General features: G+C 46.4%; 2 protein-coding genes across 32 annotated transcripts in view, besides 4 other annotated features; one reads left to right on the top strand and one right to left on the bottom strand.

Annotated features, from left to right (window-relative positions):
- The window catches only part of CDC42BPA (CDC42 binding protein kinase alpha), a 328635-nt gene extending 319792 nt beyond the window's left edge, over positions 1–8843 (top strand). For 21 of the 22 annotated variants that reach the window (XM_017002580.3, NM_014826.5, XM_047432364.1 and 18 more), the window contains 2 exons: positions 3721–3878; positions 4302–8836. In XM_017002580.3, the coding sequence (XP_016858069.1) occupies positions 3721–3878; positions 4302–4433 (290 nt within the window). In that variant the 3' untranslated portion in view covers positions 4434–8836. Of the gene's footprint in view, positions 1–3720; positions 3879–4301 lie in introns of all 22 variants that reach the window. The other variant, NM_001366011.1, reaches the window with a different exon arrangement.
- Positions 3886–4032: a silencer, noted in NCBI's record as "fragment chr1:227182370-227182516 (GRCh37/hg19 assembly coordinates)". NCBI's record gives its function as "represses an EF-1alpha promoter that drives an FKBP-Casp9 reporter gene in an ReSE screen in HepG2 liver carcinoma cells {active_cell/tissue: HepG2}" and the evidence as "EXISTENCE:reporter gene assay evidence [ECO:0000049][PMID:32094911]".
- Positions 4910–6109: an enhancer, noted in NCBI's record as "BRD4-independent group 4 enhancer chr1:227180293-227181492 (GRCh37/hg19 assembly coordinates)". NCBI's record gives its function as "activates an origin of replication core promoter dependent on BRD2, P300/CBP, MED14 and CDK7 cofactors, and independent of BRD4, by STARR-seq in HCT116 cells {active_cell/tissue: HCT116}" and the evidence as "EXISTENCE:reporter gene assay evidence [ECO:0000049][PMID:35650434]".
- Positions 5147–5347: a silencer, noted in NCBI's record as "peak740 fragment used in MPRA reporter construct". NCBI's record gives its function as "represses an SCP1 promoter by STARR-seq MPRAs in K562 erythroleukemia cells {active_cell/tissue: K562}" and the evidence as "EXISTENCE:reporter gene assay evidence [ECO:0000049][PMID:32103011]".
- Positions 8104–8183: an enhancer, noted in NCBI's record as "active region_2676". NCBI's record gives its function as "activates an Ori minimal core promoter by ATAC-STARR-seq in GM12878 lymphoblastoid cells {active_cell/tissue: GM12878}" and the evidence as "EXISTENCE:reporter gene assay evidence [ECO:0000049][PMID:35858748]".
- COQ8A (coenzyme Q8A) overlaps positions 11157–12859 on the bottom strand; it is a 47251-nt gene continuing 45548 nt past the window's right edge. For all 10 annotated transcript variants that reach the window (XM_047425745.1, XM_047425732.1, XM_024448517.2 and 7 more), the window contains one exon: positions 11157–12248. In XM_047425745.1, the coding sequence (XP_047281701.1) occupies positions 11964–12248 (285 nt within the window). In that variant the 3' untranslated portion in view covers positions 11157–11963. The remainder of the gene's footprint in view (positions 12249–12859) is intronic.

Genomic DNA, 12859 nt, shown 5'->3' with positions numbered 1-12859 from the left:
TTCTTCTAGGATTTTTATGGTTTTAGATCTTATGTTTAAATCTTTAATCCATCTTGAGTTAATTTTTGCATAAGGTGTAAGGAAGGGGTCCAATTTCAGTTTTCTGCATATGGCTAGCCAGTTTTCCCAACACCATTTATTAAATAGGGAATCCTTTCCCCGTTGCTTGTTTTTGTCAGGTTTGTCAAAGATCAGATGGTTGTAGATACGTGGCATTACTTCTGAGGCCTCTATTGTGTTCCATTGGTCTATATCTCTGTTTTGGTACCAGTACCTTGTTGTTTTGGTTACTGTAGCCTTGTAGTATAGTTTGAAATCAGGTAGTATCATGCCTCCAGCTTTGTTCTTTTTGCTTAGGATTGTCTTGGCTATACAGGCTATTTTTTGGTTCCATATGAAATTTAAAGTAGTTTTTTCTAATTCTGTGAAGAAAATCATTGGTAGCTTGATGGGGATAACATTAAATCTATAAATTACTTTGGGCATTATGGCCATTTTCATGATATTGATTCTTCCTATCCATAAGCATGGAATGTTTTTCCATTTGTTTGTGTCCTCTCTTGTTTCCTTGACCAGTGGTTTGTAGTTTTCCTTGAAGAGGTCCTTCACATCCCTTGTAAGTTGGATTCCTAGGTATTTTATTCTGTTTGTAGCAATTGTAATGGGAGTTCACTCATGATTTGGCTCTCTATTATTGGTGTGTAGGAATGCTTGTGATTTTTGCACACTGGTTCAAGCGGACCTAATACACACCTACAGAACTCTCCACCCCAAATCCACGGAATATACATTCTTCTCAGCACCACATCACACTTATTCTAAAACTGACCACATAATTGGAAGTAAAACACTCCTCACCAAATGCAAAGGAATGGAAATTATAAGTCTCTCAGACCACAGTGCAATCAAATTAGAACTCAGGATTAAGAAACTCACTCAAAACCGCACAACTACTTGGAAACTGAACAACCTGCTCTTGAATGACTACTGGGTAAATAACGAAATGAAGGCAGAAATAAATAAGTTCTTTAAGACCAATGAGAACAAAGACACAACATACCAGAATCTCTTGAGACACAGCTAAAGCAATGTTTAGAGGGAAATTTATAGCACTAAATGCCCACAGGAGAAAGCGGGAAAGATCTAAAATCGACACCCTAACATCACAATTAAAAGAACTAGAGAAGCAAGAGCAAACACATTCAAAAGCTAGCATAAGACAAGAAATAACTAAGATCAGAGCAGAACTGAAGGAGATAGAGACACGAAAAACCCTTCAAAAAATCAGTGATTCCAGGAGCTGGTTTTTTGAAAAGATTAACAAAATAGGCCGCTAGCCAGACTAATAAGAAAAGAGAGAAGAATCAAATAGACATAATAAAAAAATGATAAAGGGGAGATCACCACTGATCCCACAGAAATAGAAACTACCATCAAAGAATACTATAAACACCTCTACAGAAATAAAATAGAAAATCTAGAAGAAATGGATAAATTCCTGGACACATACACCTTCCCAAGTCTAAACCAGGAAGAAGTTGAATCCCTGAATATACCAATAACAAGTTCTGAAATTGAGGCAGTAATTAATAGCCTACCAGCTAAAAAAAGGCAGGACCAGGCAGATTCACAGCCGAATTCTACCAGAGGTACAAAGAGGAGCTGATACCATTCCTTCTGAAACTATTCCAAACAATAGAAAAAGAGGGACTCCTCCCTAACTCATTTTATGAGGCCAGCATCATCCTGATACCAAAACCTAGCAAAGACACAGCAAAAAAAGAAAATTTCAAGCCAATATCCCTGATGAACATTGATGCGAAAATCCTCAATTAAATACTAGCAAACATTCCAGCAGCACATCAAAAAGCTTATCCACCACGATCAAGTCGGCTTCATCCCTGAGATGCAAGACTGGTTCCACATACGCAAGTCAATAAACGTAATCCATCACATAAACAGAACCAGTGACAAAAACCACATGATTATCTCAATAGATGCAGAAAAGGCCTTTGATAAAATTCAACACCTTTATACTAAAAACTCAATAAACTAGGTATTGATGGAACGTATCTCAAAATAATAGCTATTTATGACAAACCCACAGCCAATATCATACCGAATGGGCAAAAGCTGGAAGCATTCCCTTTGAAAACTGCAACCAGACAAGGATGCCCTCTCTCACCACTCCTATTCAACATAGTATTGGAAGTTCTGGCCAGGGCAACCAGACAAGAGAAGGAAATAAAGGGTATTCAGATAGGAAGAGAGGAAGTCAAATTGTCTCTGTCTGCAGGTGACATGATTGTATTAGAAAACCCCTTCATCTCAGTCCAAAATCTCCTTAAGCTGACAAGCAACTTCAGCAAAGTCTCAGGTTACAAAATCAATGTGCAAAAATGACAGGAGGACTTTTAAAGTTAAGTCAGAAACTCTGCAAATTGTTCTGGGATAGGGCTGGGCATTGGTGTTTGTCAAGCTCCATCATACGCTAAACAGTAAACCACCAGTGTTGCTGATCTGCAGTCAGTCAGTTCCAGTGTCGAGGAAATGCCAGCGAGCCTGTGACTGCAGCCCAGGGGCTTCGCAAAGAAGCTGAGGAAGGGAGGTGGAAGGGGGATTACCAAGGACAGAGTCTGCCCAGGCAGGCTCTTGTTCAGTTTATTTATGAACGCTTGTGTATTTTGGTGGTCATTAGATAAATGTGCTGCTTTAAACTATCATTTTTTGACATTTTTCACTGAATTCTTAATGTGAAAAACAATTGAGACATGTTAAACCCGCAAAAAGTTGAAACAAGCACAACCTGTACCTTAGAGTTGTGCTAAAACCTCAACACAGTCTTTTGGACCAATCATCCTAATACTGAAACTCAGCACGATGAAGGCATGTTTAAGCAAAAACCTTGTCATAGTAGGGAATGCTAAGAGCTTTAAATAGGTACTGACAATAGCCCCGAGATTCCCCAGGGTGTTCTGGGTCTTCCCTTTTCTTCCTGTGAATGCTGCTGGTCCACTGTTACCTACCCCAACTCTGAGAACAAAATAGAGAGTGAGTTTGAAGAAAACCTCACTTTTATTTTACATCTCAGGCTCTTTGCCCTGTGAAGTAAAAGTACTTTTATGTTTTCTTTATGGTTTTATGAAAATTTTCTAGAAGATAAGCGATATTTCTTCATTGAGTGGCATGGCCTCTCTCGGGATGGTACAACCGAGCTTCCTCATTTAGCGCATCTGTTTTGAGCCTGCCGTGTGCCATGTTCTGTGCTAGGCCCTGGAGAGGCAAAGACACCTCATCTATTGGGAGAATGACAGGCACATGATGATAACATGACTTCATAAATGCCATGAAAGAGATGTGTGAAAGATGGCTGGGAGCCGTCAGTGGCTGGGAAAGATGTGCAAGGCAGCACCAGGCAGGTGGAGACTTGAGGGATTCTGGGGAATTGTTAACAAGCAGGGCATTGGGGCAGATGGCACAGCCTAGAGAGTGCTCGCTCACCGGGAGTCCCCGTGGCTGGGGTGGACAGGAACAGCGAGTGAGATTGCTGGATTCGGGGTTGAGCTCAGGGCAAAGGTACTACAGTTGGACTTACTGCGCTTCAGGGGAGGAGTGGTCTGGGGCCTGCAAAGGATGGCCTGTCAGCTCAGCAGTCTGTGTGCTTTCTAGAGTATTGTCCCCTCTGCATATGTAAAATTTTGCCTGCATGATGTACTGTAGGGTCATCCGCACAGAATGGCAGCGCATTAAAGAGGGAATTCTCTGGAGGAAGCTACAGTGCCAAGCGGCAGCCCATGCCCTCCCCGTCAGAGGGCTCTTTGTCCTCTGGAGGCATGGACCAAGGAAGTGATGCCCCAGCGAGGGACTTTGACGGAGAGGTGAGTGGGCAGGGTTCCGGAGACGTCATGTATCAGAAAGACTAGGGCATCTTCCCAGGCAATCCCACCACCTTGGGATTGGCCTCAGCTGCAGCAGGGTTCGGGGTCAGGGGCCAGCATTCACTCTTGGCCAGCGGGCAGCTAGGCCAGTCACTCGGGCTGCAAACTGCAGTTTTCCCAGAGGCATTCAGACTTCTGGCTTTTGTGTGAAAATACCATCATCTGTAAAGGCCTACAGAAAGGACGGAGCTTGTATGTTCCGTGCCTCTTCCTCAGCTCATAGAAGGGGCTTTATACCGACAGTGAGGCCGCCCCATGGGGTTATTTGGTCAGGGTGGCTGGAGGGGGCGGTGGTAATCTGAGCCCCTTCTGCCTCCCTTTCTCCCCCTCCTTCTCATTAATGTTTTACTTTGGGCCTTACAGGACTCTGACTCTCCGAGGCATTCCACAGCTTCCAACAGTTCCAACCTAAGCAGCCCCCCAAGCCCAGCTTCACCCCGAAAAACCAAGAGCCTCTCCCTGGAGAGCACTGACCGCGGGAGCTGGGACCCGTGAGCTGCCTCAGCACTGGGACCTCTCGCTCTCCGCTCCCTGCCACTCGCCTCCTCTCACTTTCATCTCTTCCCTCCACCTCGCCTGCTCGGCCTGAAAGCCACCAGGGGCTGGCAGCAGTAGCAGGACAGGGATTCAGGAGTTCTGACGACACGACTCTCAGATCCACGCCCCCAGCCTAACAGCAACAACAAAGACAGACTTTCCGTAGCAGCTTAGATTAACGTTGATTTCATTCCATGCACTTAGAGTTGCTTTCAGTAACATTTTACCCCTACTCCCAAAGGTAGCTTAAATAGACAGATTACACAAATGTAAGTGATAAGAATAAGATTAGACAGATTTTGCTTTCACAGTAGAGTCTCATTATAGTCCTAAAATAGCTCATGGGCTTCTCCGCATCCAGAAGGGAGAATTGGTCCCTGGAGTGGCTCACTAAGCTCTTAATCAGCAAACGCAGTGAGTATCAACCTGATTGTTGCCAGGAAATCCTTATGAATTAAAACAATGCATATTTTACTACAGTACAGAGTTTAAATGAATACATAAATGTAGAAGTACTGAATGTATATATTTAAAAGGAGCCTCTTGTATTCAACAAAAGATGGATGCATATATAAGAGAGATGATTTAATTTAAAGAAATATGTTGTTTCTTGTCTGTAATGTAATGTAAAGGGTGGAAAGGCCTCAAGCTCACATTTGTAGAGAGAGAGCGAGAGAAATCAGAGTTCCCTTTATTGCCCTGTCCTCAAACTGGTCATAGGCTCTAGTCACCTGGGGAGCTGTAGAAAACACTTGCAGAGCCAGGTTTTGCTGGTTTGGGGCATGCCCTGGGCACCAGAGCTTTAACATTTGAAGCCACTTCAGCAGCAGCAGCAAAAGGCGAACTCATCTCTACCCAAGATGTTTCTTTTCCTAGTGGTGGAATTTGAACACTTCTCACTTTTTATTGTATTTTATCTTCCGCAGATAAATGTAGAAATACACGATTCTGTCACCTCTGATCCCTTCCATCTGAAAGGTTACAAGGAGTGTTGTAGCTTCTGAAGGTGCAGAAAACAATTTCTAAAAATGCTTTTATTCCTGGGCTAATCCTGTCCCTCCCTAAGTCACAGCGAGGTGTCTGTCCCAGGGCTGGAGATGCTTCCCAAGGAGGAGTCTGTTTTGTTGAGAGTGGGCGTGGGCTTCTTCACATAAGCCTGGGGAAGGAAGAAAAAACGGCTTTCATTACCAAATAATGTAAAACCTCAAAAGCAAGGGCTTCAACAGCCTTAACCAAATATTATTCCCCATAGCCAGTGGAAAATGGATGTGACAACCCCAGTGCGCAGGCCAGAGTGAGTGAGCCCAGCACGGCGCTCCGACTGGCTTCCTCTCTCAGGTGCTGGATTGTGGGGTTAGTGGCATTTCCAGCTGGATTCCTCCTGTTGTAGTTGCCATAAGGAAATGAGATGCAGAATCAGAAGGATCTATTTCTACAGAATCATTTCACCAGTTAAGCACATGAGTAGAGAAAGAGATAAAAATAAAAGTATCTCATGAAGGAAAGAGATTTTGCCTCTCTTTTACTTTTCACCTAAGTTTCTCTGAGAAATAGAGACAGGATTCTCTCTTTAAAATTCAGTGAAAATGAAGAAAGTTTTCCTGCAGTTGCTAACCTGAGTTGCAGTGTTTAAGGCCATCATTTCACTGCTGCTGTCTGTGACTCCACGTCTGTGTCACTGAGGTGACCTGCGTGTCACTGAGGTGGCCACCATGCTGGCCTGCGGCATGTGCAGGGAGCTGAGGCTGTTTCCAGGTGATGCTGCTGTGTGGAGAAGGTTCTGAGATGCAGTGAGGGAAGAAAGGATCCTGCTGGGGATTCCATTGTAAGCACCTATAATCGGGAATTTTCATGTAACAGCTTTGACATTTAAACATTCTGAGTTTGGTGCCAGCTCAGATTTGATTATATTTTATTTTGGATGGGTGTAATTCACAGCACAGTTCTAATCTCCCAAATCTTTCTGCTTTTTAGAATGAAGTATAAAAATACTTTTCTCACCTGAATACCAAGGGTTGGCCCTTTAGTTGGATCATTGTCATATGACTTGGTAGATCCTTGTCCTCAGCACCTCACGTGAGAGAAGGGAGTCAGCCAGCCGGCCCCCTGCTTGGTGCTCGTGACCAGCTCGCACCCCTTCTGTCCACCCTTCTCTCCTCTCCTCCCCACTCTCCCCACCCTCCTCACTCTCCCCACCCTCCTCACTCTCCCCACCCTCCCCTCCTCTCCTCCTCACTCTTCCCACCCTCCCCATCCCCACCCTCCCCATCCTCCTCTTCCCTTTCCCCTTGCCTTCTCCTCTCTCCCTTCTCTTCTCAGGCAGGGAGGAGGCCATCCCAAGCCGAGATTAACAGGACTTGACATAAGCCATTAGTTTGTAGCTTTGACAAGTAATTATGAATTTTTGTTGCTTATAGGTGCTTATTTTGCAAAGGATGCTTTTAAGATCAAAATAATAACCCTACCTAAAGTCTAGCTCCACTGCTATGGGTCATACTCTTCAGCCTCCCAACAGGGCAGAGAGAGAGAGCTACTGAGGCTTGTCTAGGTTGCCAGGCTAACTGGGCGACTTGTCCATATTCACCCCATGGATTGCACCATGGCACTCTTTGATTTTTCCACTGCAATGGCAAGTAATCTCATCAGTCATAATAGAGCAGTCCCGAATGCGTGCAGATTCTAAAAGCAGGGCTTTAGGAGAGAAACACTGCCAGGGGGAATAGTTTTGGGGAGGGTTTTCCCAAAATAACGGTCATCCTACTGGGTTTATCCCACCCTTAAATATGAAGCCTGTTACCTCCAGAAGCTTCTGAGAAGAATGATGTGAAAAGACAGGGAGTGGGTTCTAGGCAAAGAAAACATAATGACCATTCAGAGGAGTCAGTAGCACAGCTCACAGATAAAGTATTTTATTACTATCTGAAGTTTTCTTTTGTTTTCATGCAGGACATTTTAAAAACGTATATGGCAGCAGAAACCTGTTTCTCAATAGAAAAAATACATTCAGAGGCATTTCTGGGATAGTCTATCTGTGTTAGTATTTGGTGCTATCTATGTCCAGCCAAGTTATCTACCCTCAAATTCTGACTAATCATGTTTGTGCTTTGGGTATTTAAAATTACATACATATATATTCTTTTTGCCAAAAACAAAAGTCTTGCTTCTTGTCAAATGATTGCTAAAGTAGATCTTACATTTTTTGTTATTATGTATGTATTTATACACATCCCCAACACACTTAGTGATTTCTGTTATTTCCTAGGGAGCACAGCTTTAAGGCTATGAGATACAACTAAAAGGAGCCCATCTATTTGGTTTTCCAGCCAATTATTGTACTCACATTTCAGGGGAGAATCTGAAATTCCTGTCATGTTTACAGCAACAATCTATCATTCCTGGCTAGCTCTCAGCCTCTCTCTCCTTCCATAGGTTAGAATTATGTCATTTTGTTACTTAGTGGCCACGTCTATTTCTGAGAAAGACTGGTTACATTTATGTGGCATCTCAGGTATCATTAAGGAAAAGCCAGAGCAGGGGTGAGCAGAGGTCAAAACCACAGACGCAGCAGGGCCATTTGCCGCCTTTGGCCGGGATCACAACCACTGCAGTCTCCCAGCAGGTAGGCCTTGCCAAGCCTAAGGCTCCCCATCCAATCTAGACAGAGGGGCGCTCAGAGCAGACTTTGCCGTAGCCCATGTCTGGTGAGCACAACAGGGAATGAATTGGGCACTCCACTCCCCCGTCTCTCTGGCCCAGCCCTGAACTAGATGAGCTGCATTTCATGGAGCCCATTTTAAAATCTCTTTCCTTATGACTTTGTTACTCAAGTCCAGAGTTCTCTGTGCACTTCTGCTAGATAAGGAGTGTAAGCCCTGCCCCCCAGCACTGGCAGCACGCTGGGCCCTCCCCACACAGGACACCGTGCAGTTCCGGGGGAAGCTGACTCAAATCAACCTTGAAATCTCATGAAAACAAAATGACTTGTCTTTTTATTTGATAGTGTAATATCATTCATTTTATAAATTTTTTAGGGTTTTTCTCGTAATATTGTACAGTTTTGCATGGCCTGGTGTGATCATTTTTTGGTTAGAATATAATGCTGACAAATGTGGATGGAGGGGAAGATACTGCTTTAGCCTATCACTCCTTATTTTATTTTGTTTGGTTTTATGCCCTCAGTGTCTTAGGGAACTTTTTAAGAGATCCTCTGCTACCAAACAATGATGTGGATTCTTTTGCACAGAAATATTTAAGGTGGGATGGTAAAAAATGTCACAAAAGACTCCTCACCAATACTTTATGTTGATATCACTTAATATTAACCAGACTTTGCTGTATTGCAATAAAACAGAGAACTGTTAGCATTGAGTATTTTGTCTCTTTTCCCCCCACTTGAAAGTCTGAGAAATAGAGAAAGGTGCCACCTCTCCGCCTGTCACTTCTCTTCTTTCTGCTGGCCTCCTTCCTCATCCAGGCTGCTTCTTTATGCCGTAAAAGGACATGGGGTTAGTTTGCCCCTGTGGTTTAATCTAGGACTTTCTTAATTTCTTCCTTAGCTCGGGTAAGAATGATGTTCAATTCTCCTGAAGCTTTCAACTCCCCTCTTCTGGCCAGAACTTCGCTGTTGCTGTTACTTCGGTCCACAAGACCAAACCCTGGCTGCGTGAGGTTTCCTGAGTGGCCCTGACAGTGTGAATGTGGGAGCAGTTTGATTTTGTGTCACTTAAACAAGACGGACTGTTACTGCTTTTCTGGAGTTAGAATGGTTCATCTAAGAACATACAGGGAAGGTCCAGGGGTGGGGTTAAAGGAACTCCTGAACTGGTGGCAGCTAAGTAGTTATTCGGAGAATACTTCCGGTTCCAATGGCCCATGGAATTGACATTTGTGGCTGATACTGTTATGTTGGTTTACTGTAGTGTCAGCTGTGCAGTGCTTTAGAACAGGGCTTGGCAACCCTTTTCTGTCCAGGACCAGTTAAGAAATCCTTGTGCCTTTGTGTATATAGTTTGCTGCAGCTCCCCGGCTCTGGCATTTCAGTGCAAAAACAGTCTTAGCCTGCTACGTACATAAACGAGAGTGGCTGTGCCCCAATAAAACTTACAAAAATGCAGTGGGCCAGATTTGGCCCTTGGACCATCATAGTTTGCCAGCCCTTCGTTTGGTCCCCTTAGTGTAGACTGTAAGACTAGACTGTCTTGTTCCAAATCCTCATTCTGCCACTTAACCTCTGGGCCTCTTTTTTTTTTTTTCCCTCTGTAAAAAGGCCCACTTGGAGTGTCAGGAGTTAATGCACTCAGAATCTAACTTCTAGCCTATGGTTTAGTGTTTTGTCCTTATGAGTAACCGCCAAAGCCTACAGTAACAAATATTTTTTTGTTGTGTGGTGTCCAGCCCTTCACTAGATGTTAGGGACACGAAGACACAGACCCTGGGAAAATCAAGCCATGATTTGCCATGTTCTCATGCCCCATGTCTCAGTGTGAATGGGTGAGCACGGGGAGTCATTCATCACAATACTGTAAAAATCAAAATAGGTACAAAAGAATAAGTATGTGTGGCCAGCTTCAGAGCCAGCTTTACTTGGGGATTAAAGTCATTTGCAATCCAGTGATCCCCACTGTCTTCACAGGGAGGGCTCTAGTTCTCAGCCGGCTCTCAGACTTAGGACACACAAACCACATTCCAGTTTTCCCTTAGAAAACTTCTCCTGTTCCAGCAGTTATGGTCGTGGTTCCTGGGGAAGCAAATGCTGGCTGCTGTTGTTCTCCTCTCCCTTCCCCCCGCATGCTGCTGCTTGACTTGTTTGGCTTGTTGTTCAAGAGGAAGAGGAGACTGTGAGAGCCCTGGCTGGGGCTGGCCTGGGTTCTTCCCCTGCTGTTTACTCTGCAGGGCGATGGCTTCAGATCTGAGTGCTGCAGAGGAGTTTGCTAGACAACAGCAAATACCCTTAAGAAGAGGGCCACAAGAGTTTCAGCCAGGGATCTGACAGTGGTGCTGGGCGCCGCTGCTAGCCAGGCAGCCTCACGGACGCCACCCAGGCCTCTCCATCCTGTCCCGGAGCCCACTGGGTCTGCTACTCGGCAATCCCAAATTTCAGAAACTATATTTTCTTTCTTTAAGAACCCTGAAAGCCTATACCTCTCAAAGCCTCTTTTGGGCCTGTGCATTCTGCAGATGCACTTTCAACTGCTCACAGGTCCGTAGAAAGGGCCCCAGCTCAGTGTCCAGTGTGTCCTGTTATCTAGGAATCAGTCTGGCCCCAGGAAAAGCCACTTTTCAGGACGTGGTCCTCAACTGCAGCTGATGTCTAGAGAGGAGACGTCTCACTGTGATGCAGACCTGGCATCAGCCGTGCTGGCAGGTGTCACTGTCCTCCCAGTTGCCACCATCACCAGGTACAGCAGCTTCAGCAGTGTGGTACAGCCTCCCGGGGGCTGGGGCAGTGACACCGCAACCTCTCCTCCTGTTCTCCACCCCTCCCACCTCCCTTCTTACAGGGAACGGGGCTGAGCCTTCCAGGTTCAGGGCCAAGGGCCTCACGCTGAACCAGTCCCAACCCTTGCAAATGGGCTGTGACACTGAACCTGCTGACCGTCAGGTCAGAAAAGAACCACCACCACGAGCTAGAAGATACGGGTCGTCATTCTCCAGAATACAGAAGAGGGTACACGCGCCAAAGCACTTCCCATGAGCATTTTTATTAAATTGAAACAAGTTGTTGATTCGATAATTACAAGACTTGTACAAAAATTCACAGCGCCTGTGAGGAGCCTTTGGCTGGAACTGGTGACACCTGTGCCTCTCCGGACAGAGGAAGGAAGTCCCACCCCGCCTTCCAGCAGCAGCGAGCCTGTGTCTGGCATTCCCTGTTCCGCTGCTCCCACCCTCACTGTGGGGCAGCAGTTCTTTAGGAACATTCAGCTGTCAAAGGTGAGAACCAGCCCCACAGGCCTGGGCCTCGCAGGCTTAAGGAGCACTTGTTGGCACTGTTAGCTCAGCACCTCTCCCAGCTCCAGCCCATCGGCTGGAGAGGAAAAGGGCAGAAAACACAAATCTCACTCTAGAAACACATACACACACCTACTACACAGATGATAAAATCCCACAATCGTATCTGTTCATGTTTCTGGGTTTTGCACTGAACAGAGATTGGAAGGGAGTAAGGACTCTCTCCCTTCTGCTTAACATTCACATCAGGAAAAAGAAGAAAACAAAGTTGCCCTTTCATCTTCATCTGCTTATTTCAGAGGACACACGGAGGCAGACTGACCGAGCAGTGGGGCTTCATCTTCATTCTTGCACTTCTCACCCTACAACCATTTAGCAACAGAAACCGTGGAAAGCGCTGGCTACGGGGCTCCAGGCAGCCACCCCCCTTATTGGGCAAAGGAGTTAAAAAGAGCATCACCACGACCTCGCTACTGGTTTTTGGCCTGTCTGAGGGAGAGAGTTCCCGCGGAGCCGGCCTGGGCGTGGCCCGCAGCCCTACTGCTGGGCCTGCCTCTTGCAGTAGTTGCTGTAGGCCTCCTCGAACATGGCCTTGCAGGGGAAGCGGGCCTTCAGCTTGGAGCAGATGAGGAAGGAGCCCCCCATCTTCCTGTGCAGGGAGTAGGTTTCCTCGGGTGGGGGGACGAGACGGTGCCTCAGCATGACGGGAATCAGGTTGTGGATCTTCTCGGTGGTGCTCTGAGTGCCAAAATCAAAAGGCTCATCAGAGGCGAAGGCCTCCCCCAGGATGAGGATGGCATCCAAGTGGGCGTCTTCCATGACCTGGGGCAAGAGAGGAAGGATAAATGGCGGCGAGACACCAGAGCCCTCCACCAGCCCGGGTTCCTCCCACAGTGCCCGGGGCGCTGAGTTCTCATTCAAAGCTCTGCTGTAAACTGGATTACATCATGGTAATGGGCATAAACTCAAACCCACAGGGGCCGGGAACACGAGGGTAACATGGACTGGGCTGATGTGATACAAAAGGGAGTGGCGGGGCCTGTGGCAGAGTGCAGAGGATGCGTCCCGCCTCGTGGCACTCATACAGAGTTTTAACAAAACACTGTTCTGGCCAAAAAGAACAGAGTCCGTGGGCCTAAGCTGGCAGGGCCTCCCACCATGCGTGTCTGAGCCTGCCAGAGTCCACCCAAGACACACCCAGCAGCCGTGTGTCTGCCCACGGGAACTAGCAACCTAAGGAAGCCGCCGCCAGCAGAGCAGGGGAGAGGAGCTGCCGCCAGGGACAGCCCAAGGTGGTCAGAGGGACGGGGCGGCCAGGAATCGAGTCAGTGCGAGTGGCCATAAGGAAGAGGCGGGAGAGAGCTGCTGCCCGCTGAGCGCTTACAGCTGAGATAAGGGGGGCTCAGAGATACTGACAAGCCTCAAATGACACT

The sequence above is a fragment of the Homo sapiens genome, chromosome 1 (assembly GCF_000001405.40).
Source record: "Homo sapiens chromosome 1, GRCh38.p14 Primary Assembly".
Taxonomy (NCBI): domain Eukaryota; kingdom Metazoa; phylum Chordata; class Mammalia; order Primates; family Hominidae; genus Homo; species Homo sapiens.
Note: the sequence above shows the minus strand (reverse complement) of the source record. Positions and strands in the feature narration are given on the sequence as shown.